Source organism: Homo sapiens, chromosome 3 (assembly GCF_000001405.40).
Source record: "Homo sapiens chromosome 3, GRCh38.p14 Primary Assembly".
Taxonomy (NCBI): domain Eukaryota; kingdom Metazoa; phylum Chordata; class Mammalia; order Primates; family Hominidae; genus Homo; species Homo sapiens.
Genome location: NC_000003.12, coordinates 51481293 through 51508346, shown reverse-complemented (window position 1 = coordinate 51508346; position 27054 = coordinate 51481293). Strand labels below are relative to the sequence as shown.

Below are 27054 nucleotides of genomic sequence, written 5' to 3'. Positions count from 1 at the left end.
CAAGCAATTATCCTGCCTCAGCCTCCGGAGTAGCTGGAATTACAGGCACCCGCCAGCACACCCGGCTAATTTTTTTTGTATTTTTAGTAGAGAGATTTCACCGTATTGCCCAGGCTGGTCTTGAACTCCTGACCTTGTGATTTGCCCGCCTCGGACTCCCAAAATGCTGGGATTACAGGCATGAGCCATCGTGCTCAGCCGGCTGGTGCATGGTTTTTAAACTGCATTCCTTGTAACACTAGGAGTTTTTCTGCCACATCATGACCTAGAATCCCTTGCATCATTCCTTTTCTCTACTTAATGAAGAGGTATACAAGATTTCAGTGGGACTAAAAAGACTCTGTGGTAAAATCATAATACTAATATAATTTGAAAATCATGGATCTAGGCCAGGCACAGTGGCTCACGCCTGTAATCCCAGCACTTTGGGAGGCCGAGGTGGGTGGATCACGAGGTCGAGTTAAAGACCAGCCTGGCCAACATGGCAAAACCCCATCTCTACTAAAAATACAAAAATTAGCTGGGCATGGTGGCGTGTGCCCAGCTACTCGGGAGGCTGAGGCAGGAGAATCACTTGAACCGGGGAGGTGGAGGTTGCCGTGAGCCAAGATCGCACCACTGCACTCCAGCCTGGGCAACAGAGCAAGACTCTGTCTCAAAAAAAAAAAAAAAAAAAAAAGAAAGAAAGAAAGAAAGAAAATCATAGATCTAGTAAAGCCCTCCTTATGGGGGATGTATGAGGAAACTTGCCCAGGGTCACCTCTAGTCTCTTGTACCTCACACCAGACCTGTCCCACAGGATGCCTGCTGGCTCCATAGAGCAGACAGCAGAAACCCTCAGTGGAGGCATGGCTTGAATACAAAATAGCCAAGATGTCTCCTTGGTCTGGAGGAGACACATGGTGGTGAGCAACTCTCAACAGAATTAATGACACCAAGACCCAGACCTGCAGACCCTGAGAGGCAGTGAGATGCTGTCTTAGCTTACCTGCCAAAAGTCCACAGGATTTGGTCTGTTCTTGCCTTCATGAAATGTAATGCCCTGGACAGGGATACAAGGCTCTTGGGTTCCAGGCTGCCCCTGACTTCTGGGAATAGCAGCCTTCATTTTAAGGGAGGGAGCTGGGCATAGTCATTCAGGCCTTAGACTGTAAGCCTTGAGGGCAGGGTCTGTGCTGCATTCTCCGCAGCACTGAAGACACAGGGTACAGGGCCAGGCACAGGGCAAGGGCTCGGGAATCCTAACTTAAGACACATTTTTGTTCATTTGATTTTCTTTTTTTTCTTTTTTTCTTTTTTTTTTTGAGGGAGTCTCTCTCTGTCGCCCAGGCTGGAGTGCAGTGGCATGATCTTGGCTCACTGCAACCTCTGCCTCTGGGGTTCAAGCGATTCTCCTGCCTCAGCCTCCCGAGTAGCTGGGATTACAGGAGTGCCCAGCTGATTTTTTCTATTTTTAGTAGAGACGGGGTTTCACCATGTTGGCCAGGCTGGTCTTGAAATCCTGACCTCAGGTGATCTGCCCACGTCGGCCCCCCAAAGTGCTGGGATTATAGGCGTGAGCCACCCATGCCTTGCAACTTGTTTTTAAAACAAGGTTTCCATTCAGTGGCTGCCCCCATGCCCCGCTTACGAAGTGTGACCTTCCAAGGCAGTAACTGAGTTTCCACATTTTGTGGAATGACACTTTCTCCCCGGGTTGTTTTCTGTTTTCTCCCCTGAATTGCCTCTTCAGGAGGTGGGAGTCTCTACCCTCTGGAGAGAGTGGGCACTGAGCGCTCCACTTTCTTCTCTTGACACTCTTCTTCCTCTGCGTAATCCAACAGGTAGGGGTGCCCCAAGGCTACCAGGGCCACTTTTCAATGTAGCAGAATTTGGCAGAATGTGCTTGCCCAGGAAACAGGTAGAAAATGGATGGTCAGGCCAGGTGCAGTGGCTTATGCCTGTAATCCCAGCACTTTGGGAGGCCAAGGCAGGTGGATCGTTTGAGGTCAGGAGTTCGACACCAGCCTGGCCAACATGGTGAAACCCCGTCTCTACTAAAAATACAACAATTAGCCAGGTGTGGTGGCGGACACCCGTAATCCCAGCTACTCAGGAGGCTGAGGCATGAAAATCGCTTGAACCCGGGAGGTGCAGGTCTCAGTGAGCCAAGATCACACCACTGCACTCCAGCCTGGGCGACAAGAGTGAAACTCCATCTCAAAAAAAAAAAAAAAAAAAAGAAAGAAAAGAAAAAGAAAAAAGAAAAGAAACTGAATGGTCACAGAGGGATGGCACTGAGGAGAAGATCTGGTCCCTGGCTCAGGGGCCTTAACCTCCTTTTTCCAGGGATGACCCAGAACATCAGTGATCAGGACCCTTATATATATTCAAAAGGGGCAAGGGTGCTCCTCTGGCCCTAGGGTCTCAACGGATGGGATAATGGTCAAGGAATACAGGCTCAGGCCCCAACTGTTCTTATCTTTTGGCGATGACTGAGACATGAGAAACTGATCCCATCCTGAGTCTCCAATAACCCTCCTCACCCACTACAGCCTGAGACTGGTCCAGTGAGCCCCTCCAGACCCCACACCCCTCTCCAGAGCCTACAGGCTGCTTGTGAAGTCCCTTCTCCCCTAAAGTCATGCCCACTAGTCCCTGGTTGTCCTGGTCCCTGGTCCTGTGGGGAGGCAACCAGCTTTGTGACTTCACAAAAGGCTATCTTGTCAGAAGCCTGGACCTGCTGAAGCAGGAGCAGGGCAGAGGGGGCTCCCCTCAGGAACATCATGAGACTTTTCACACAGAGACATCGCCACCTCTAAGGGATGAAGAACTTCCCCACGGTAAGAGCCCATGACACCCTCTACACCTAGAAACTCCCGTCTTGATGACTTTGGCTCCCAGGCCTAACTGGGTACCCCAGGCTGTATCTGGCAACATCTCCAAGAGGGATACGCCCATGGTAGAAGTATTTACTTCGGTTGGTGTGGTGGGTCTCTGACCTTTGAATTTGTTCCATTCAACAAAGCCATTCTTCTGTAGGCCCTCTCTTTTTTTAATTTAAAAAATTATTATTAATTTTATTTTTATTATTATTATTTTTTGAGACAGAATCTCACTCTGTTGCCTAGGCTGGAGTGCAGTGGTGTGATCTCGGCTCACTGCAACCTACGCCTCCTGGGTTCAAGCAATTCTCATGCCTCAGGCTCCTGAGTAGCTGGGATTACAGGCATGCACCACCACACCTGGCTAATTTTTGTAATTTTTTAGTAGAGATGGGGTTTTGTCATGCTGGCCAGGCTGGTCTCGAACTCTCGACCTCAGGTGATCCACCTGCCTTGCCCCCCTAAAGTGCTGGGATTATGGCGTGAGCTACCACGCCTGGCTGTAAGAATTATTTTTATTTTTATTATTTTTTATACTGATAGAGTCTCACTATGTTGCCCAGGTTGGTCTTGAACTCCTAGGCTCAATGATCCACCTGCCTCAGCCTCCCTAAGTGCTGGAATTACAGGTGTGAGCCACCGTGCCAGGCCCAGGCCTTCTTGAAATGAAATAACTGATAGAGTGGTAAACTCTTTCTGACCTGAGTCATCATGAGGGTCTGCCCCAGCAGTCTCCAGAGTACCTTCAAATGGGTCAGGCCAGAGATCCCTGAATCCTGTAGAATGGTCTATTCCCTGAATCCTGTAGAATGGTCTTTCTAAAAATCCAGGAGTGGCCAAAGCATGGTGGTTCACACCTGTCATCCCAGCACTTTGAGAGGCCAAGGTGGGTGGATCACTTGAGGTCAGGAGTTCGAGACCAGCCTGGCCAACATGGTGAAACCCCATCTCTACTAAAAATACAAAGATTAGCCAGGTGTTGTGGCGGGCACCTGTAATCCCACCTACTCAGGAGGCTGAGGCAGGAGAATTACTTGAACCCAGGATGCAGAGGTTGCAGTGAGACGAGATTGCTTCACTGCACTCCAGCCTGGGGACAGAGTGAGGCTCCATCTCAAAATAAATAAATAAATAAAAGTTCAGGGGTTGCCAGGCGCGGTGGCTCACGCCTGTAATCCCAGCATTTTGGGAGGCAGAGGCGGGCGGATCACGGGGTCAGGAGATCGAGACCATCCTGGTTAACACAGTGAAACCCCGTCTTTACTAAAAATATAAAAAATTAGCCAGGCGTGGTGGCGGGCGCCTGTAGTCCCAGCTACTCAGGATGCTGAGGAAGGAGAATGGCCTGAACCAGGAGGCGGAGCTTGCGGTGAGCTGAGATTGTGCCACTGCACTCCAGCCTGGGCGACAGAGCCAGACTCCATCTCAAAAAAAAAAAAAAAAAAATGTTCAGGGGCTTCTGAGAGCTTGGAGCCAAGGCCAATACAGACTCTCTCCCCAATGTTGACTCCACTCTTCCTCCTGGAAGGATTTCCAACCCCAGGAACCTGAGGCAAAAGAGGCTAGGTATGCTTGCTTTTTTATCTCCTCTTTATCTGTGCCCACTGATCGATGTGGGCACTTAAGTTGTTGACTTTGTGGAATTTGTTTCTTTCTCTGTAAAGTGAGAGTAGTGGATGTGGATGTAATCAGACATAATTACACACCCTTTGGGAAATGATGTGGCGTTCCCTCTCCTCATTTTCTGGGGGTGGGGTACAGGGGCCACCAGGCAGGAGTAGGGTACCCAGTGAATGATTGGGATTTCCTCTTTGTCCAGGCTGGTGTTCCCAAAGCCTGGTAGCCTTAAGCCTCTAATTGGTGGCTCCTGCGACACTGCTGGACACTTGCAGTAGCAGTCTTGTCTAGCCAACAGGAGAGCAGGGGTGGATATGGGACAGCTGACCTCACTTCCCAGCCCCAGGGAAGGGAATTGCTGGAGGAAGCGCAGGAGTTGTGGGGTGGCACCAGGGTGAGGATGGGCTTGTGGGAGCACCTGGGTAAGCCTAGAAGGAGGTGCTGGGAGTGAAAAGCTCATAGAAGGATGGGAGCGGGAGAAGGAGGAGAATGAAGGAGAAGCTTGAAGCCTAGAGGACTTGGTGCTGTCCATCTTCCTACCCAGGGAGTGGGTGTGCTTGGAGGTGGGAGTAGGTAGAGCATGCTAATCTGTAGGCCTTGGTCCTGGGGCCAGGGCTGGGCTCTTCTTACCTTTTCTCTGCTGCTGGGCAGCCCCCAAAGCACTCCTCACTCTTTCAGATGGGGCTTCCTCTTTCTTGGGCACACCATGGAGCAGGGGGTGGAACAGGCAGAGCAAGGTGAGACGGAGTCCAGAGATGTCCTACCAAAGAGGTCAATAAATCTCCTCCCAATGGTGCAGGACCCATGTGCCACAACCAAGCCAGGTGTGTGGGCCTGGATTGTCTGTAGCTTTGTGTGTGCATATGCTTAGATGTGAAAGTATTTGTTGTGAGGACTGGGTGCCTAATGCACAGTGTGCATGCTTGTATATCTGGCACATGTGGGTATCTGTGAAATATGCCACCAAGCACACTTGGAATGCGTGTGCAGTTGGGAAAGCCTGGGTGCTCCCTCTTCTTTTTCCCAGAAGTGGGAAGGAGGTGTTTGAAGGTGTCTGCAGGTGTGTGGCTATGTGCATGTTGGGGAGGGGGAGGTGTTGGCAGGGGTAGAGGAGGCTGCAGGAGTTAAGAGTGCAGATTCCTGAGGGCGTGGCTGCTGGAGAGGCCTTGTTTGTCTCCTCCCCTGCTTCCCCTGCCTCCTAGGCCCTGGCTTCTCCAAAGCCCCTTCTTAATGCTTCTTGCTCCCATCACCAACCCAGGGCCCCAGGCTGGGTTTGTTTTTTAAAAAAATTAAAAAAAAATTTTTTTTTGAGACAGAGTCTCTCTCTGTCACCCAGGCTGGAGTGCAGTGGCACAATGACAGCTCACTGTAGCCTCAACCTCCCAAGCTCAAGCAATCCTCCCACCTCAGCCTCATAAATAGCTGGGACTACAGGCATGCACCACCACGTCCGGCAAATTTTTAAGATATTTTGTAGAGACAGTGGAGCAAGGGTGAGGGTGGGGGTGTCTCTCTATGTTGCCCAGGTTGGTCTTGAACTCCTGGGATCAAGAGATTCTCAGCCCCTCAAAGTGCTGGGATTACAGGCATGAGCCACAGTGCTCTGACCAGGTTGGGTTTCTGAAATGAAGCAGTGCCATCTGGTGGCAGACTGAGGCAGTGCCAGGAGCGCGTGAGCTAAGCCTTGAGCTCCCCTAAGGGCTCTGCCTCTTAGGACCCCAGCCAGCGGAGAAGTCACCACTGGGCCGGCTAGACCATAGTCAGAGGGGAGATATCCAAGGCTTAAATGTCCCATCCTCATACATTTTAGGTTCATGGCCCAGGGAGGCATGGCAGGAAAGTCACCTGAAGGAGTGCTGGAGGAATGGCATGTGGGTTCCATTCCTTGTTCTACCTCTCTGGGTCCAGATTTCTCATCTGTAAAGGTGATTAACCATATCTTCCCTGTGTGTGTGGCAGGGTAGTGAGGGTTAAATGAGAGAGTGTGGCTGGAACACTTGGCTCAGGGCCCAGCATGCTCTGAAGTTGAAAGAAATGGTACTGGCCATTACTGACAGAGGTAGAGTTCCAGAAGCACAGAGAAGGGACCTGTGTGTTGTGGCAGGAGAAAGAAGTGAAGAAAGGTGACATGTCTGTGGCGCTCCCAGCACATATTAGAGAATCTCTGCTTGGAGCAGTAGCTCCAAGTTACACATTTAAGAGAAGGAGGATGGTCCCTTTTCTGGAAAGAGGGAAATGGGATCTAGTGGGGAATGAAACCAAGGGACCCAGGATTCAGGATCCTTACTAGCTGTCGAGCCTGAGCATAGCAGCAGGCTTGCTGTGTCTTGTATTCATGTGACAGTATTGCCGTGAAGACTCATGGAGATGCACGGAGACTTGCTCAGCATTCCCGGAGAGATAATGAGCTGCATAAGGCCTTGAACGCTGGGTAGGATCTTGTCAGGTCGAGATTCTGCTCAACTGTGGGTCATGTTTATCTTCTATGCCCCACAAGAGGGACTGCTGGTCAGAGTAAGGAGTCCTCTGGTTCTGCTGTTAATTGGTTGTGTGATGCTGGGCAAGTCGCTCACTCCCTCTGGGCCTCATTTTTCCCAACAACATGAAGAAATTGAATTAAGTGACCTGTGAGGTCAGTCCTGCCTTAATCTATGAGCTTTTGATTTTTCACTTCTCTGCCTCACGTATAATAACCTGGCAATAAGTATCTATTGATTCTTACAGGCTAGGTCTTGAACAAAAAGACAGAGGCTGGGTGCAGTGGCTCATGCCTGTAATCCCAACACTTCGGGGGGCCGAGGCAGGAGAATCGTTTGAGCCTAGAAATTCAAGACCAACCTGGACAACACAGTGGGACTTCGTCTCTACAAAAATTTTTAAAAATTAGCCGGGTGTGGTGGTGCACACCTGTAGCCCCGGCTACTTGGGAGGCTGAGGTGAGAAGATAGCTTGAGCCCAGGAGGTTGATTGAGGCTGTAGTGAGCTGTGATCGCGCCACTGCACTCCAGCGTGGATGACAGAGCGAGACCCTGTCAAAAAAAAAAAAAAAAAAAGACAGAGAAAAAAGAGGCTGGGAGAACTCAGCCCAGGAGTTCGAGAACAGCCTGGCCAACACGGCAAAACCATGTCTCTACCAAACACGCACATACAAAACAGAAACAAAAATTGGCTGGGTGTGGTGGCATGCGCCTGTAGTCTCAGCTGGAGGCTGAGGTGGGAGGACTGTTTGAGCCCGGGAGGCGGAGGTCATAGTGAGCTGAGATCGTCACTGCACTCCAGCCTGGGCAACAGAGCGAGACTCTGTCTCAAAAAAACAAAACAAAACAAACAAAAAACAACCAGTGCCTTCTGATTTAATGAGTGCTGTGATTTCTGATATGTTTATGAGAAATATTTTCTTAGATCACGGTATGTTCTAGGTAAGATAAGGCAAATGGCCAAATAAAACAGAGGCTCTTTGCGCACACAGGTCAGAACAAGACACTGAAAAAGTATCAGGCGATTACAGTACTGTCTTAGAAGGATTGGCTCCCTCACTTTTCACTTCCGCCTTCCGAAGCAGCCAATGAGTACTCAGCAGTTCGCATTTATCCAAAAAAACTACAAATCCAGAAGTCAATGCGCCAGGCGAAGAGCTCATGCGTCAATTGGGACTGGTGGGCCCGCCCCTAGACGCGGAACTTCATTTCCCAGGCGTCCCCGGGGCTCTTCGATTTTTTTTTTTTTTTTTTTTTTTTTTTTTTTTTTTTCCCCGATCGTGCAGGCGTTCTCTTCCCGCCCCTTGCTCGCGGTCCTCGCGCCAAGTAGGCGCGAGCGCGCGCGCGCGGTGCACGTAGCGCGCGAGTGACGCATAATATGTGGGCCGCTGTGGAGCCGTGGTCGCGCTGTGTGTGTGTGTGAGTGGAGAGTGAGTGCGGGACCTGAGGCTGTGTGTGTGTGAACTGTGGCCACTGGCGGGGTCGGGGGGGGGCAGCGGCGGAGCCGCCTCGGACGGTGAGTGGGAAATGGAGGGAGGCGACTCTACGGGAGGGGCGCGAGGAAGCAGGTCGCGCGGCTGGCCGGGCGGCAGAGTGGGCGCCGGGCTTGGGGGAGGGGCGGCACCTGCTTGGGCCGCCGGCGAGGAGGGGGCGGGCCGGTCTGCCGGGAGGCTGGGCCCGGGGCCTGACAGGACTTTTCCTCCTCCTGATTCTTGTCCTGGGGGCGGGGCCTCCACGTTCTTCCTCCACTCCCCACGAGAAGCTTCCCGAGAGTAACTCTTCCGCCCGGAGTGGGGGGGCGGGGTGTGTCCGCCCCTACCTGGAGGAGGGGCGCATTTCATTTCCCTTGTTTTCTTTTTCCTTCCAATCCTCCTAGTCTCTGTTCCGTACGGGCTTGCGGGGCTCCATCTTCCGTACTATACGGCGGGCCCCTTCCCGGACTGTGTCTCCGCCTCCAGCTCCAGTCACCTGGGCGGGCTCTCCCGTCTCTCGGCCTCGTGCCACCTCTCCCTGCACCCGCCTGCCTCTTGGACCGTGCGACGGGGGCGGAGCTTTCCGGGCGCTCCTCCCATCCCCATGAAAGAGGGAAGGGTTGGAAAGAGAGGTGTGCGGGTCCCGCAGCCTGGAGTCAAACCTCAGAGTGCCCGCGAAGCTTCCCTGGAGTCTATTTCCGGGGGTTATAGTAGTTTTCAACTGGGGTGTCAGAAGCGTTTGCTTAACAACTTCACTTCTTAGACGGTTTTCTGTCTGGTTTCCTCTTACTGCGGTGGCAGCGCTCTGGTTTTCCATTTGTTGAGGAAATAGTTTTGGAGTGTTTGTATTTAGCTATTTTTGAGTCACAAATGACTCGTCCTTGGCCATGTCATGTTGGTCTTGGTTTTTCCTTACCCTGTTTTTTTGATGAAGCCTTTTAATTAGTTTACATGTCTTAATTTTTTATATTAGTAGCATCTTCCTGTTCAAAATGCATCGTTAATGTACAGAATGAGAGGTTAATTGGTAATATCATCCTGCATTTTCTTTTTCCAGCTTACTGGAGTTTACCTTTAATGTTTATGTAAATGTGTATATTTAGATTTTAGGATCTATTTAGTATTTTTCTTAATGATGTGACCATTTGGGTTTTCTATATAACATTTATTCATTACCCATTTTTGAGTGGGTATATATTTTTGGATGTTAAAGAGATAATAGAGAATTTGGGGAATGTAGGGAAATCATTTTGTACTTAGTATCTCTTGCGTAGTTGCTGAGTACAGTGTTTTACTGTTCTGCCTATTATACAGTTTTAAAATTTTTTATTTTTATTCATTTATTTTTTATAGAGACAGTGGTCTCAGTATGTTGCCCAGGCTGGTTTTGAACTCAAGTGATCCTCCCTGGTCAGCCTCCCGAAGTGTTGGAATTACAGACATGAGCCACTACACCTGGCCTGTTTTTTTAGATACAGGATCTTGCCCTGTAGCCTAGGCTGGAGTGCAGTGGTGTGATAACTCTTTTTTTTTTTTTTTTCTTTTTTCTTTTTTTTTGAGACAGCGTCTCATTCTGTTGCCCCAGCTAGAGTGCAGTGGCGCGATCTTGTCTCACTGCAACCTCCGCCTCCCAGGTTCAAGTGATTCTCCTGCCTCAGCCTCCGGAGTAGCTGGGACTACAGGCACGCGCCACCACGCCCGGATAATTTTTGTATTTATAGTAGAGATGGGGTTTCAGCATATTGGCCAGGCTGGTCTCAAGCTCTTGTCCTCGTGATCTGCCCACCTCGGCCTCCCAAAGTGCTGGGATTACAGATGTAAGCCACTGCGCTGGCTTTTTTTTTTTTTTTTTTTTTTTTTTTTTTTTGAGACAGAGTCTCACTGTGTTGCCCAGGCTGGAGTGCAGTGGCGCGATCTCAGCTCACTGCAAGCTCCGCCTCCCAGGTTCACGCCATTCTCGTGCCTCAGCCTCCCAAGTAGCTAGGATTACTGGTGCCTGCCACCACGCCCGGCTAATTTTTTGTATTTTTAGTAGACACAGGGTTTCACCGTGTTAGCCATGATGGTCTCGAGTGTCATCATAACTCATTGCAGCCTCCAACAACTCCTGGGCTCAAAGGAGCCTGCTGCCTCAGCCTCTTGAGTAACTAGGACCGCAGTCACAGGCTAACATGATTGGCTAATTTTTAAATATTTGTGTCGACTGTGTCTCAAAATGTTGCCCAGCTGACCTCAAGCAATCCTTCCGACTTGGCTTCCCAAATTGCTGGGATTACAGGCTTGAGCCACTGTGCCTGTCAATTTAAAAAAAATTTTTTTTTCTTTTTTTTGAGACGGAGTCTTGCTCTGTTGCCCAGGCTGGAGTGCAGTGGTGCAATCTCGGCTCACTGCAACCTCCACCTCCCGGGTTCAAGCGATTCTCCTGCCTCAGCCTCCCGAGTAACTGGGACTACAGGCGCGTGCCACCATGCCCAGCTAATTTTTGTATTTTTAGTAGACACGGGGTTTCACCATGTTGGTCCGGCTGGTCATGAACTCCTGACCTCGTGATCCACCGCCTAGGCCTCCCAAAGTGCTGGGATTACAGGCGTGAGCCACCGTGCCCGCCTATTTTTATTTTTTTTGAGACAGTCTTCCTGTGTCACCTAGCCTGGAGTGCAGTGGTGCGATCTTTGCCCACTGTAACCTCTGCCTCCCAGGTTCAAGCGATTCTCATGCCTCAGCCTCTGGAGTAGCTGGGATTACAGGTGTGTGCCCCCACGCCTGGCTAATTTTTTTATTTTTTGTAGAGATGGGGATTTGCCGCGTTGGCCAGGCTGGTCTTGAACTTTTGGCCTCAAGTAATCCACCCACTTCAGTCTCCCAAAGTGCTAGGATTACAGGCATGAGCCATAGTGCCTGGCAAACAGTTGTTAATATTATGCCATATTTTCTCTATTTGTGTGTGTGGTATCTATATATATATTTTGTGGAATCATTTGAAAATAAGTTGCAGGCCTGTCATCCCTAAATACCCTAGCAGATGCTTGTTAGGATAAGAAAATTTTACATAAGTATTTCTTGAGGCTTTATATTATCCCATCATGGGGACAATATTGTCATTTAACCCCGCACAACAACTGTTTCCATCTTGCAGATAAGGAAATTGAGATTTGGAGAAGTTAAATAACCAAGACTTCACAGGTATGTCAGCAGAGTTGGGATTTGAATCCTTGAAACCTTTTTTCTACCTAGTACTAGCTGGTCTTGGGGACCTCTCTGAGCTAGTTTCCTCATGTGTGAAAAAGGGTAGGATGGTTGTGAAAATTCAGAATAATGTAAGTATGGTAAATTACTTAGCTCAATGTCTGTCCCATACTAGATATTCACTAATTGGTAACTACCGTGTCACCATTGGACAGACCATCATTTCTTCATAGCACTTAAAGGAACTCACTTAAGAACTTGAGTAATGCACCCTTATTGTCTTGGGCATAACAAGGTGAAGATGACTGTTTTCTTTGCTCTTGTTGTGCAAGCTGGAGTGCAGTGGCGCGATCTCGGCTCACTGCAACCTCTGTCTCCTGGGTTCAAGCGATTCTGCTGCCTCAGCCTCCGGAGCAGCTGGGATTACAGGCGTGTGCCACCATGCCTGGCTAATTTTGTTGGTATTTTTAGTAGAGATGCGGTTTCACCATGTTGGCCAGGTGGTCTCGAACTCCTGACCTTGTGATCTGCCGGCCTCGGCCTCCCAAGGTGCTGGGATTACAGGCGTGAGCCACTGCGCCCGGCCTAATTTTGTATTTTTAGTAGAGACAGGGTTTCTCCATATTAGTCAGGCTGGTCTCGAACTCCCAACCTCAGGTGATCTGCCTGCCTTGGCCTCCTAAAGTGCTGAGATTACAGGTGTGAGCCACTGTGCCCGGCCTTTTTTTTTTTTCCTTGAGACAAGGTCTCGCACTTTTGCTCTGGCTGGAGTACAGTGGTGCAGTTATGGCTCACTGCAGCCTCCACCTCCTAGGCTCAAGCAGTTCTCTTGCTTCAGCCTCCCCAGGTAGCTGGGACTACAGGTTGCAGTGAGCCAAGATTGTGTCCCTGCACTCCCGCCTGGGCAGCAGAGCGAGATTCCGTCTCACAAAACAAAAAACAAACACAAAAAAACGAACATTGAAGTAAGTACTACTACTACTGATTTTTAAATTTTTTTCATAGAGGCAGGATTTCACCATGTTGTCCAGGCTGGTCTCAAACTCCTGGGCTCAAGCGATCTGCCCACCTAGGTTTTCCAAAGTGCTGGGATTACAGGTGTGAGCCACCACACTCAGTTGCTGACTGCTTTCATTGATACTATGTTAATTCACATTGCTATTATTAGTTAAGTCTGTTACAAGTTTATATTTTCCTTTATTTAGTCTGTTACAAGTTTATATTTTCCTTTATTTATGTATTTAAATAATAAAGACAAGGTCTTACTGTTACCCAGGCTGGTCTCAAACCCCTGGGCTCAAGTGATCCTCCTACCTCAGCCTTCCAAAGTGCTGGGATTACAAGTGTGAGCCACCACGCCTTGCCTTTATATTTTTTTATTCTTTATTATTCTTAATATTTTTTTTGAGATGGAGTTTTGCTCTTGTCGCCCAGGCTGGAGTGCAGTGGTGCAATCTCGGCTCACTGCAACTTCTGCCTCCCGGGTTCAAGCGATTCTCCTGCCTCAGCCTCCCGAGTGGCTGGGATTGCAGGCGCCTGCTGCCACGTCCGGCTAATTTTTTGTATTTTTAGTAGAGACAGGGTTTCATCATGTTGGCCAGGCTGGTCTCGAGCTCCTGACCTCAGATGATACACCCGCATTGGCCTCCCAAAGTGCAGGGATTACAGGCGTGAGCCACCACGCCTGGCCTATTTTTTATTTTTTTAAATAATAGAGACAAGGTCTCACTAAGGTTTATATTTTCCTTGGGCAAATGGTTATTCCCAAAGTTATAATTATCTTCAGGCATAGATTAGTTGGAAGTTCTGAAAATGATACCAGAAGTATATATGTATATGTTTCTAAGTTGAACTCTAAAATTTTAGTGTTTTAGGCCAGGCATGGTGGCTCATGTCTACAATCCTAGCACTTTGGAAGGCCAAGTGGAGAGGATTGCTTGAGCCCAGCAATTTGAGACCAGCCTGGGTAACATAGTGAGACCCTGTCTCTACAAAATAATAAAAATTAAAAAATTTTAAAAATATAAAATTTTAGTGTTTTAATGCCCTTGAATTAATCTTTATTAGAGGTAGTGTTTTTTAAAAAATCATGTCTTTATGTGCTCTAGTAGGCTAACTGCTTAAGTTATCTAAGAAGCAGTCTCTTCTGGATCATTTCTTTTCTCATTAAAAAATTGTGGTAAATTTACGTAGCATAAAATTAACGACTACCCATTTTGAAGTGTACAAATCAGTGGCGTTTGTAGATTCACAGTGTTGTGCAACCATTATCTCTTTCTAGTTCTAGAATATTTTTATCACCTTAAAAGGAAACCTCGGCCGGGCGCGGTGGCTCACACCTGTAATCCCAGCACTTTGGGAGGCTGAGGCGGGTGGATCACGAGGTCAGGAGATTGAGACCATCCTGGGTAACACGGTGAAACCCCGTCTGTACTACAAATACAAAAAAGTAGCCGGGTGTGGTGGCCGGTGCCTGTAGTCCCAGCTACTCGGGAGGCTGAAGCAGGAGAATGGCATGAACCCGGGAGGCGGAGCTTGCAGTGAGCCGAGATCCTGCCACTGCACTCCAGTCTCTGGGCGACAGAGTGAGACTCCATCTCAAAAAAAAAAAAAAAAGGAAACCTCATACCCATTTAGCAGTCACTGCCCATTTTCCCCTTTCCTCAAGTCCTTGGCAACTACTAGTTAGCTTTCTGTATATTGATTTACCTATTTCAACTTTTTTTTTTTTTTTGAGACGGAATCTCGCTCTGTCGCCCAGGCTGGAGTGCAGTGGCGCAATCTTGGCTCACTGCAACCTCCGCCTCCCAGGTTCAAGCGATGCTTCTGCCTCAGCCTCCTGAGTAGCTAGGACTACAGGCGCATGCCACCACGCCCGGCTAATTTTTGTACTTTCAGTAGAGACGGGGGTTTCACCATGTTGGCCAGGCTGGTCTCGAACTGTTGACCTCATGATCCACCCGCCTTGGCCTCCCAAAGTGCTGGGGTTACAGGTGTGAGCCACCATGCCCAGCCTTCAATGTTTTATATAAATAGAATCATACAATATGTGCCCTTTTGTGTCTGCTTTCTTATTGTTTTCAAGGTTTTTCCACATCTGTAGCATGTTACTACTTCATTCATTTCTATGACTGAATATTCCATTGTATGCATATACCACATTTTGTTTATCTCTTCATCTGATGATGGACTTTTGGGTTGTTTCTACTTTTTGGCTATTGTGAATAATGCTACCAAGAACATTTGTGTATAAGTCTTTGTTTGAATTCCTTTTTTTTTTCCCCTGAGATGGAGTTTTGCGCTCATTGCCCAGGCTGGAGTGCAATGGCGTAATCTTGGCTCACTTCAACCTCTGCCTTCTGAGTTCAAGCGGTTCTCCTGCCTCAGCCTCCCCAGTAGCTAGGATTACAGGCATGTGCCACCATGCCTGGTTAATTTTGTATTTTTAGTAGAGATGGGGTTTCTCCATGTTGGTCAGGCTGGTCTTAAACTCCCGACCTCAGGAGATCTGCCCGCCTTGGCCTCCCAAAGTGCTGGGATTAGAGGTGTGAGCCACCACACCCAGCCTTGTTTTCAGTTCTTTTGGGTATATATCTAGTAGTGAAATTGCTGGGTCGTATAGTAATTCTACATGTGACTTAAAAAAAAAAACCTGCAACTTTTTGAGAGAGTCCCAAACTGTTTTTTATAACTACTATACCCTTTTACATTTCTTTTATTTATTTATTTATTTTTTTGAGAGGGAGTCTTGCTCTGTCACCCAGGATGGAGTGCAGTGGCGCGATCTCGGCTCACTGCAAGCTCCACCTCCCGGGTTCACGCCATTCTCCTGCCTCAGTCTCCCGAGTAGGTGGGACTACTGGTGCCTGCCACCACGCCCAGCTAATTTTTTGTATTTTTAGTAGAGATGGGGTTTCACCATGTTAGCCAGGATGGTCTCTGTCTCCTGACCTCGCGATCCGCCTGCCTCGGCCTCCCAAAGTGCTGAGATTGCAAGCATGAGCCACCGCGCCCGGGGCCACCCTTTTACATTTCTACAAGCAATATGTGTTCCAGTTTCTTCACATGCTTGCTAATGCTTATATTTTCTCATTTCTTAAACTACAGTCATGTTAGTAGGTGAGAAATGATATCTCATTATGGTTTTGATTTGCAGTTCCTAGTGACTGATGTTGAGTATCTTTCATGCGTTTCTTGGCCTTTTTTTTGTTTTTAAGACAAAGTCTCACTCCTTTTGCCCAGGCCGGTGTGCATTGGGGTAATCTCGGCTGACTGCAACCTCCGTCCCCTCCGAGTTCAAGTGATTCTCCTGCCTCAACCTCCCGAGTAGCTGGGATTACAGGTACCTGCCACCATGCCCAGCTCTTTTTTGTATTTTTAGTAGAGATGGGGTTTCAACTTGTTGGCCATACTCGTCTCAAACTCCTGACCTCAGATGATCTGCCTAAAGTATTGGGATTATAGGCATGAGCCACAGCACTCGGCCCATTTTCGCATATACTGTGAGGCAAAGATCCAACTTCGCTGTTTTGTGGGATAATATCCAATTGTCTCACTACTTTTTTTTTTTTTTTGAGACGGGTCTTGCTCTGTCACCAGGCTAGAGTGCAGTGGTGCAGTCTCGGCTCACTGCAACTTCCGCCTCCCGCAGGTTCAAGCGATTCCCCTCCCTCAGCCCCCCCGAGTAGCTGGGACTACCAGTGTGTGCCACCACACCTGGCCAATTTCTTGTATTTTAGTAGAGATGGGGTTTCACCATGTTGGCTAGGATGGTCTTGATCTCCTGACCTCGTGATCTGCCCACCTCGGCCTCCCACAGTGCTGGGATAACAGGCGTGAGCCACTGTGCCAAGTCTCATCAGTACTTTTTTGTTTGTTTGTTTTTTGAGATGGAGTCTTGCTCTGTCGCCCAGGCTGGAGGGCAGTGGCGCTGTCTCAGCTCACTGCAACCTCCGCCTCCTGGATTCAAGCAGTTCTCCTGCCTCAGCCCCCCTGAGTAGCTGGGGTTACAGGCGCGCCACCATGCCTGGCTAATTTTTGTATTTTAGTAGAGATGGGGTTTCACAATGTTGGCCAGTCTGGTCTCGAACTCCTGCTCAAGTTATCTGCCTGTCTTGGCCTCCCAAAGTGCAGGGATTACAGGCATGAGCCACTGCACCTGGGCAGCACTACTTATTGAAATTACTTTTTTCCTATTGAATGGTCTTGGTACCCTTGTTGAAAATTGATCATAGATGTGAGTGCTTATTGCTGGATTATCAATTCTATTGTATTTGTCTCTGTGTTGATCCTTATGTCAGTGCCATGCTGTTCCATTTACTATAGTTTTGTAGCAAGTTTTGAAATCAGAAGTGTGATTTTTCCAACTTTTTTTTTTTTTTTTGGAGACATAGTCTCGCTCTGTTGCCTTGCTGGAGTGCAGTGGCGCAATCTTGGCTCACTGCAGCCTCCGTCTCCTAGGTTCAAGCGGTTCTCCTGCCTCAGCTGTCCCAGTAGCTGGGATTACAGGTGCGTGCCAACACGCCCAGCTAATTTTTGTATTTTTACTGGGGATGGGGTTTCACCATATTGGCCAGAATGGTCTCGATCTCTTGACCTTGTGATCCACCTGCCTCGACCTCCCAAAGTGCTGGGATTACAGGTGTGAGCCACTGCGCCTGACCCCGACTTTGTTTTTTTTTTTTTTTTTTCCAAGATTGTTGTGCCTATTCAGGTTTCCTTGCAATTACATACGAATTTTAGAATCAGCATGTCCATTTCTGCAAAAGATGTCATTGGGTTGTTTTTGTTGTTGTTGTTTTTTGAGACAGAGTCTCTCTCTGTTGCTCCCAGGCTGGAGTGCAGTGGCACGATCTCGGCTTACTGCAACCTCTGCCTCTTGGGTTCAAGTGGTTCTCTTGCCTCATTCTCCCAGATAGCCGGGATTACAGGCGTCTGCCACCATGGTCAGCTAATGTTTTGTATTTTTAGTAGAGATGGGGTTTCACCATGTTGGCCAGGCTGGTGTTGAACTCTTGAACTCAGGTGATCCACCCATCTTGGCCTCCCAAAGTGCTGGGATTACAGGCGTGAGCCACCATGCCTGGTTTGTCATTGGGATTTTGATAGCGATTGCATTTTATTTGTAGACCACGTTGGAATGTATTACCATCTTGATACTAACCCTTCTAATCCATGAACACAGAATGTCTTTTTGTTTATTTAGGTTATTTAAAATTTAGGTCATCATGAATTGACTCCAGCAATGTTTTGTAGTTTTCAGCATACAAGTCTTGTGTTTGTGCCTTTTTTGTTGTTGTTGAGACAGGGTCCCGCTATGTCTTCAATGCTAGAGTGCAGTGGTGCGATCTTGGTTCACTGCAGCCTCAACTTACTGGGCTCAGGTGATTCTCCCACCTCAGCCTACCGAGTAGCTGGGAGTACAGGTGCATACCTGGTACAGGTGCACACCATGCCTGGCTAATTTTTTGCCTTTTTTGTAAAGACTAGGTTTTGCCATGTTGCCCCAGCTGGACTTGAATTCCTGAGCTCAAGCAATCCACCCACCTTGGCCTCCTAAAGTTCTGGGATTAACAGGTGTGAGCCACCCTTCCCGGCCTTGTGCCTTTTAAATTAAATTTGTTTCTAATTATTTTATTATTTTTGGTGCTATTGTAAATGAAATTGTTCTCTTCATTTACTTTCATATTGTTTTTTGGCTAGTGTATAGCAGTACAACTGATTTTTGTGTGTTGCTCTTGTACCTTGCAACTTTGCTGAATTCATTTATTCTAATAATTTTTATGTGGATTCTTTAGGATTTTCTGTATACAGGATTATGTCATCTAGGAATAAAGATAATTTTACTTCTTCCTTTTCAACTTGGATACCATCTATCTATCTATCTATCTATCTATATACACACACACACACACACACATGCATACACACTTTTTTTTTTTTTTTGAGACAGAGTCTTACCTGTCACCCAGGCTGGATTGCACTGGTGCAATCTTGGCTCACTGCAACCTCTGCCTCCTGGATTCAAGCTGTTCTCCTGCCTCAGCCTCCCCCGAAGCTGGGATTACAGGTGTACACCACCATGCCCAGCTAAATTTTGTATTTTTAGTAGAGATGCGGTTTCACCATGTTGGCCAGGCTGATCTCGAACTCCTGACCTCTTGATCCACCCGCTTTGGCCTCCCAAAGTTCTGAAATTACAGGCATGAGCCACCTTGCCCAGCCTATATTTCTTTTTCTTGCCTAATTACTCTGCCTAGGACCCTAGTAGAGTGTGGTTTTTTTGTTTTGTTTTTTGAGACAGAGTCTCACTCTGTTGCCCAGGCTGGACTGCAGTGGCACAATCTTGTGGCTCATTGCAACGTCTGCCTCTTCGATTCAAGCAATTCTCATGCCTCAGCCTACTGAATACCTGGGATTACAGGTGTGCCCCATCATGCCCTGCTAATTTTTTATTTTTACTGGAGACGAGATTTCACCATGTTGGCCAGGCTGGTCTCAAACTCCTGTTCTCAAGTGATCTATCTGCCTTGGCCTCCCAAAGCGCCGGGATTACAGGTGTGAGCCACCACGCCAGGCGGAGGACTCCAGTACAGTGTTTTAATAGAAATGGCAAAGGCAGACATTGTTGTCTGGTTTCCGATTTTTGGGGCAAAGCTTTCAGTCTTTCACCATGGAGTGTAGTGTTGTTCATAATCCCCTTTATCATGTTCTAGAAGGTCTCTTCCGTTCCTAGTTTATTGAGTGTTACTCCCCCTGCCCCACCCGAGACGGAGTCTCGCCCTGTCGCGCAGACTGGAATGCAGTGGTGCTATCTTGGCTTACTGCAACCTCCGCCTCCCAGGTTCAAGCAATTCTCCTACCTCAGCCTCCTGAGTAGCTGGGATTACAGGCGCACACCACCACGCCCGGATAATTTTTTTTTTTTGTAGACGGAGTTTTGCTCTGTCACCTAGGCTGGAGTGCAGTGGCGCGATCTTGGCTCACTGCAACCTCTGCCTCCTGTGTTCAAGCGATTCTCCTGCCTCACCCTCCCAAGTAGCTGGAATTACAGGTGCGTGCCACCATGCCCGGCTAATTTTTGTGTTTTTAGTAGAGACGGGGTTTCGCCATGTTGGCCAGGGTAGTCTGGAACCCCTGACCTCAGGTGATCTGCCTGCCTTGGCCTCCCAAACTGCTGGCGTGAGCCACCGTGCCAGGCCTAATTTTTGTATTTTTAGTAGAGACAGGGTTTCACCATGTTGGCCAGGCTGGTCTCGAACTCCTGACCTCATGATCCACCCGCCTTGGCCTCCCAAAGTGCTGGGATTACAGGCGTGAGCCATGTGCCTGGCCTTAATTTTCTTAATATGCTGTTGGATTCTGTTTGCTAGTATTTTGTTGAGGATTTTTATGTCTGCAGTCATAAAGGACATCAGGCTGTAGCTTTCTTTTCTTGTGATATCTTTATTTGGCTTTGGTATCAGTAATGATGGTTTCATGGAATGAATTAGGAAGTATCTTTCCTCTTCAGGTTTTGGAGAAGTTTGAGAAGGATTGGTGTTAATTCTTCTTTAAATGTTTGGTAGGCCTGGTGCAGTGGTTCATGCCTGTAATACCAGCATTTTGGGATGCCGAGGCAGGCGGGTTGTGTGAGGTCAGGAGTTCAAGACCAGCCTGGCCAACATGGTGAAACCCCGTCTCTACTAAAAGTACAAAAATTAGCCGGGCATGATGGCGCGTGCCTGTAGCCCCAGCTATTCGGGAAGCTGAGGCAGGAGAATCGCTTGAACCCAGGAGGTGGAGGTTGCAGTGAGTCAAGATCACGCCTCTGCACTCCAGTCTGGGCGACAGAGCAAGACTCCGTCTCCAAATAAATAAATAAATAAATAAATAAATAAATAGTTTGGTAGGCTGGGCGTGGTGGTTTGTCCCTGTAATCCTAGCACTTTGGGAGGCTGAGGCAGGAAGATTGCTTGAGCCCAGGAGTTCACGACCAGCCTAGGCAACATAGGAGGGGGACCCTGTCTTTAAAAAAGAAAAAAAGGGAGAGGAAAGAGGAGAGAGAGAGAGAAAGAGGAGAGAAGAAAAAGGAAGAAAGAATTGGTTAAATTGTTGCCACATTCTACCAGCCTGGCTAGTACTCTTCAAGATTGTCAAGGTCATGTAAAACAAAAACAAATCCCCAAACTATCTATCATAGACCAGAGGACAGTAGATAGACATGACAGCTGAATGCAGTGTATCCTAGATGAGATCATGGAACAAAGCACATGATTTGAAAAATGGTGAAATCTGAATCAGGTCTGGAGTTTAGTTAATAATAATGTAACAATGTTGGTTTCTTAATTTTGACAGTGTACCACTATAATATGGTAACATGAGGGAAAACTGAACTGGGTGAGAGGTATGTGGGAACACTGTGTACTATCTTTGCAGCTTTTCTGTAAATCTAAAATTACTCCACATAAAAAGTTTGTTTTGGCTGGGCACAGTGGCTCACGCCTGTAATCCCAGCACTTTAGGAAGCTGAGGTGGGCGGATCACGCGGTCAAGAGATCGAGACCAGACTGGCCAACATGGTGAAACCCTGTCTCTACTAAAAATACAAAAATTAGCTGGGTGTGGTGGTGTGCGCCTGTAATCCCAGCTACTTGGGAGTCTGAGGTGGGAGAATCGCTCGCTTGAATCCGGGATGTGGAGGTTATAGTGAGCTGAGATTGTGCCACTGCACTCCAGCCTGGCGACAGAGTGTGACTCTGTCTTAAAAAAAAAAAGAAAAGAAAAGAAAAAAAGTTTGTTTTAAAAATATATTTATCGAGGCCAAGCACAGTGGCTCATGCCTGTAATCCCAGCACTTTGGGAGGCCGAGGCAGGCGGATCATGAGGTCAGGAGTTCGAGACCAGCCTGGCCAATATGGTGAAACTCTATCTCTACTAAAAATACAAAAATTAGCCGGGCATGCTGGCGTGTATCTGTAGTCCCAGCTACTCGGGAGACTGAGGCAGAAGAATCACTTGAACCTGGGAGATGGAGGTCGCAGTGAGCCGAGATCGTGCCACTGCACTCCAGCCTGGGTGACAGAGCAAGATGCCATCTCAAAAAAATAAAAATAAAAATAACAACGTATGTATAGTTAGTAGATAGCAGTAAAATATGCAACCTGAGTTTTCTCAGGTTGAAGTCAGAAGTCCATATTAGTCTGTCACACCTACAGCATTTCCTTTTTGTGGCTTTGGTTAGAAAGTCTGAAAATATGGCGGGGTGTGGTGGCTCACACCTGTTGTCTCAGCACTTTGGGGGGCTAAGGCAGGAGGATCACCTGAGGTCAGGAGTTTGAGGCCAGCCTGGGCAACAGTGAGACCCCACCTGAACAAATAATAAAAATAAAAATAAGCTGGGCATGGCAACACATACTGTAATCTCAGCTACTCTGGAGGCTGAGGTGGGAGGATCACTTGAGCCCAGGTGGTTGAGGCTGCAGTGAGCTGGGACCGCGCTACTGCACTCAAGCCTGGGAGGCAGAGTGAGATCCTTAAAAAAAAAAAAAAAAAAAAAGAATCTGCCGGGTGTGGTTTTCACAGCTGTAATCCCAGCACTTTGGGAGGCCAAGGCAGGCAGATCATGAGGTCAGGAGATTGAGACCATCCTGGCTAACACGGTGAAAGCCCGTCTCTCCTAAAAATACAAAAAATTTGCTGGCGTGGTGGTACAAGCATGTAGTCCCAGCTACTTGGGAGGCTGAGGCAGGAAAATCGCTTGAACCCAGCAGGTAGACGTTACAGTGAGCCGAGATGGCGCCACTGCGCTCCAGCCTGGCGACAAAGCAAAACTCTGCCTCAAAAAAAAAAAAAAAAAAAAAAAAATAAATAATCTTTTTGATTTTGTTCAATTTTTGGGGTAGGGCAGGTATTTTCCTTTGGAGTTATGTGTAATCCAGGTGACATGAATCACTACTATTGGAATTGCATCTACTTGATTAAAACATAAATATTTGCATTTTATAATACAATGCAATAATGCAATGCAATAATGATATCATCTTTTACATGTATTTCTTTTGGTTTTATGGTAGATATCTTTAGAAGAGTTCATTTTAGATCAGCTAGTAATTCCTGTCTGATGTGAAACTCTTTATGGAATGGTTGCTGTTTCTGAGAAGATACGCATTTTGCGTGGCAGAATATGACATTTTGATTTTAAGGCTACTTTTATAAAGAAGTTGATGCCATAACCTGTCAAACATTTGCGTCTCATTTATCCCTTTTGGATCCCCTTATAAGCCTCTCATATGTGGGTGTCTTATTTGGTCCTCCAAAGCTCACCTCAGCTCCCTGCCCTTCTGCATTCCTAGTTTGAACCACTCAACCCAGCCAACCTTCTCTGCCTCTCTTCTAGCCTCTTCTTTCCAGGAAATCAGCTGTGAGAGAGGTTAGGAAGCTTGAAGGATAAATGAGTTTTATAGTGTTCCTTCTCCACTTTCATGCTGGCAGTAGTGTCCATTTCATTTCTTGGCCTTCTCTTTAAGAATTAACAGAGCTGGGCGCGGTGGGTCACGCCTGTAATCCCAGCACTTTGGGAGGCTGAGGCGGGTGGATCACCTGAGGTCAGGAGTTCGAGATCAGCCTGACCAACATGGTGAAACCCTGTTTCTACTAAAATACAAAAATTAGCTGGGCGTGGTGGTGCATGCCTGTAATCCTAGCTACTTGGGAGGCTGAGGCAGGAGAATTGCTTGAACCCGGGAGGCAGAGGTTGCAGTGAGCCGAGATTGTGCCATTGCACTCCAGCCTGGGCAGTAAGAGTGAAACTCTGTCTCAAAAAAAAAACAAAACAAAAAACGGAGTTTGAGACTAGCCTGGCCAGCGTGGTGAAACTGCGTCTCTACTAAATGTACAAAAATTAGCCAGGCATGGTGGCGGGCGCCTGTAATTCCAGCTACTCGGGAGGCTGAGGCAGGAGAATTGCTTGAACCCGAGAGGTGGAGGTTTCAGTGAGCCGAGATTGTGCCATTGCACTCCAGCCTGGGTGACAGAGTGAGACTCCATCTCAAAAAAAAAAAAAAAAAAGAAAAAATTAAACAGGAGTGTGCCATGCTGTTTATCTTTGATAGAACTTCCCTCAAAGGACTAACGAGCAAAATATTTTGGGAGTAGTTTTGGCCACATTTTGTGCTTAAAAAAATGTAAGCACAAAGTTTTAGACCTCAGAGATCTAGGCCTGGGATTATTGTATATATTACAGGTAGGCATTAGGTAAATCTATTTTTTTTTCTTTTTGAGACGGAGTCTTGCTCTGTCGCCCAAGCTGGAGTGCAATGGTGTGATCTCGGCTCACTGCAACCTCTACCTCCCAGGTTCAAGTGATTCTCCTGCCTCAGCCTCCCAAGTAGCTGGGATTACAGTCACCTGCCACCATGTCCAGATAATTTTTGTATTTTTAGTAGAGACAGGGTTTCATCATGTTGGCCAGGCTGGTCCCGAACTCCTGACCTCAGGTGATCCACCTGCCCCAGCCTCCCAAAGTGCTGGGATTACAGGTGTGAGCCACCATGCCTGGTGGTAAATGCATTTTTGATGAGGGAAAGGTACCATATTTTTTGTCTCATTTTCAAAGGGACTCCTCAAAAGGTTAAGAATCACTGTTTTGATCCAGCTTCTTGCCTCATTTGACAGTTGAAGCTGAGGCTGAGAAAGGCGAAAGTACTTGTTCATCACTACTGAATGGGTATCTAGGCTTGATGAGTATCCCGAGTTTTCTGCTGTACCACAAATAAATCCAAAGGGTTCAAGGGGTTAAATTTCCCTTTTTAATTTTTTCTCTTGCCTTCTCGTCCTTTTCTACCCCTTCTTCACTTTTATTTGCTTGTGTTCATTTATTGGTTGTCTTTTTTATTTTTATTTTTGCTTCCTTAGGCAAAGCCATGACTACAGTAGTGGTACATGTGGACTCCAAAGCTGAGCTCACTACCCTGCTGGAGCAGTGGGAAAAGGAACATGGCAGTGGGCAGGACATGGTACCTATCCTTACCAGGTATGAATAACTTTTTTAAAACCTAGTTTAATAAAAAACCTCGGACACAACTCATACGCTAGATTTCTTCATACACACACACACACACACACACACACACACACACACAAACTAGTTTAAAAAGAAGCAAAAATTGGTGTGGAGAATAGCATAGGAACATTTTCACCTAGACTGTAAATTCTAAATCAATTTTTTTCTTTCCTCAGATTTAGTCTTTATCTCCCTACTTCCTGAAGCTGTTTAATTTTCTTATTTAATTTAATTTAATTTTTTTTTTTTGAGTCAGAGTTTTGCTTTGTTGCCCAGGCTGGAGTACAATGGTGTGATCTCGGCTCACTGCAACCTCCGTCTCCTGGGTTCAAGGGGTTCTCCTGCCTCAGCCTCCCAAGTAGCTGGGATTACAGGCTCCCACCACCATGCCCGGCTACTTTTTATATTTTTTAGTAGAGACGGGGTTTCACCATGTTGATCAGGCTGGTCTCGAACTCCTTACCTTAGGTGATACACCCGCCTTGGCCTCCTCCCAAAGTGCTAGGATTACAGGCGTGAGCCACTGAGCCTGGCTTTTTTTTTTTTTTTCATACGGAGTTTTGCTCTTGTTGCCCAGGCTAGAGTGCAATGGCGTGATCTCAGCTTACTGTAACCTCCGCCTCCTGGGTTCAAGCAATTCTCCTGCTTCAGCCTCCTGAGTAGCTGGGATTACAGGCGTTTGTCACCACGCCCAGCTAATTTTTGTATCTTTTTAGTAGAGACGGGGTTTCACCATGTTGGTCAGGCTGGTCTTGAGCTCCTGAGCTCAGGTGATCCACCTGCCTTGGCCTCCCAAAGTGCTGGGATTACAGGTGTGAGCCACCATGCCCAGCATATTTTTAAATTAAAAAAATAAAAATAAAAAAAATTAGACTCATTTCCCAACTGTTTGGTGAATGTATCTTTTTTTTTTTTTTTTTTTTTGAGATGGAGTGTTGCACTGTCTCCTGGGCTGGAGTGCAATGGCACGATCTCGGCTCACTGCAACCTCCGCCTCCCGGGTTCAAGTTATTCTTCTGCCTCAGCCTCCCGAGTAGCTGGGATTACAGGTGCACGCCACCACACCCGGCTAATTTTTGTATTTTTAGTAGAGACGGGGTTTCACCATGTTGGCCAGCCTGGTCTTGAACTCCTGAGCTCAGGTGATTCACCTGCCTTGGCCTCCCAAAGTGCTGGGATTACAGGTGTGAGCCACTGCGCCCGTCCTGGTGAATATATCTTTACCTGGCTCTTCTGGCTCTGTTTTTTTGGAGACAGGGTCTCACTCTGTCACCAGGCTGTAGTGGCATGATCTCAGCTCACTGCAGCCTTGATCTCCTGGACTCAAGCCATCTTCTTACCTCAGCCTCCCTACTAGATGAGACCACAGGTGTGCACCACCACACCTGACTAATTTTTAAATTTTTTGTAGAGGGAGGGTCTCCCTGTGTTACCCAGTCTGGTCTTGAACATCTGGGCTCAAGCAATCCTCCTGTCTCGGCCTCCCAAAGTGCTGGGATTACAGGCGAAGCCACAGTGCTGGCCTACTTGGCTCTTCTACAGATACCTGAAACAGACCATGTCCAAAATTGAGCTTATCATCCTCATTTCTGTGTGTCTCCTCATTTATTCATAACTTAATGCTTTTTTTATTCCCTACCTTGGTTTTAAACTGAATGGTTTTAAACTGAAAAACTTTTTTTGTTTTTATTTTTTGGGGGGATGGAGTCTCACTCTGTTGCCTAGGCTGGAGTGCATTGGCATGATCTTGGCTCACCACAACCTCCACCTGCCAGGTTCAAGCAATTCTCCCTGCCTCAGCCTCCTGAGTAGCTGGGATTACAGGTGCCCGCCACGACGCTGGCTAATTTTTGTATTTTTAGTAGAGGTGGGGTTTTGCCATGTTGGCCAGGCTGTTCTCGAACTCCTGACCTCAAGTGACCTGACTGCCTCGGCCTCTCAAAGTGCTGGGATTACAGGCGTGAGCCACTGTGCCCGGCATATTTTACCTTTCATTTTTTTTGAGACGGAGTCTTGCTCTCTGCCCCAGGCAGTGGTGCGATCTTGGCTCACTGCAACCCCCACCTCCTAGGTTCAAGTGATTCTCCTGCCTGAGCCTCTGGAGTAGCTGGGATTACAGGCATAAGCCACCATGCTCGGCTAATTTTTCTGTTTTTTTTAGTAGAGATAGGGTTTTGCCATGTTGGCCAGGCTGGTCTTGAACTCCTGACCTCAGGTGATCCACCCACCTCGGCCTCCCAAAGTGCTGGGATTACAGGAGTGAGCCATTGCGCCTGGCCTGCATTAGGTATTGCTCATGTCTTGACTGGCCCATTAAGCAGTGTGCCTTATAAGTTTACCCTCCAGTTTACCCTCTTTTAATACATCCTCCCCCTTGCTGAAAGATTCCTTTTTCT

General features: G+C 47.5%; 1 protein-coding gene and 1 long non-coding RNA gene across 43 annotated transcripts in view, besides 3 other annotated features; one reads left to right on the top strand and one right to left on the bottom strand.

Annotated features, from left to right (window-relative positions):
* The window catches only part of LOC105377085 (uncharacterized), a 29600-nt gene extending 28323 nt beyond the window's left edge, over window positions 1-1277 (bottom strand). The window contains exon 1 of the long non-coding RNA XR_940835.3: window positions 989-1277. This is a non-coding gene — a long non-coding RNA (uncharacterized LOC105377085). The remainder of the gene's footprint in view (window positions 1-988) is intronic.
* Window positions 1278-2707: 1430 nt separating this feature from the next.
* DCAF1 (DDB1 and CUL4 associated factor 1) overlaps window positions 2708-27054 on the top strand; it is a 109773-nt gene continuing 85426 nt past the window's right edge. For 11 of the 42 annotated variants that reach the window (XR_007095776.1, NR_146065.2, XR_007095774.1 and 8 more), the window contains exons 1-2: window positions 8332-8474; window positions 24511-24628. Coding sequence is in view for 30 of the 42 variants with exons in the window: in NM_001171904.2 (NP_001165375.1) it covers window positions 24519-24628 (110 nt within the window). In the remaining 12 variants the exon portion in view is untranslated. Of the gene's footprint in view, window positions 2823-8331; window positions 8475-9015; window positions 9458-11566; window positions 11614-15833; window positions 15959-24126; window positions 24135-24510; window positions 24629-27054 lie in introns of those variants that run through there. The other 31 variants (XR_007095778.1, XR_007095772.1, XM_047449282.1 and 28 more) reach the window with 13 other exon arrangements.
* Window positions 6091-6190: a silencer, noted in NCBI's record as "silent region_14414". NCBI's record gives its function as "represses an Ori minimal core promoter by ATAC-STARR-seq in GM12878 lymphoblastoid cells {active_cell/tissue: GM12878}" and the evidence as "EXISTENCE:reporter gene assay evidence [ECO:0000049][PMID:35858748]".
* Window positions 8443-8672: a silencer, noted in NCBI's record as "silent region_14413". NCBI's record gives its function as "represses an Ori minimal core promoter by ATAC-STARR-seq in GM12878 lymphoblastoid cells {active_cell/tissue: GM12878}" and the evidence as "EXISTENCE:reporter gene assay evidence [ECO:0000049][PMID:35858748]".
* Window positions 8783-8882: an enhancer, noted in NCBI's record as "active region_19919". NCBI's record gives its function as "activates an Ori minimal core promoter by ATAC-STARR-seq in GM12878 lymphoblastoid cells {active_cell/tissue: GM12878}" and the evidence as "EXISTENCE:reporter gene assay evidence [ECO:0000049][PMID:35858748]".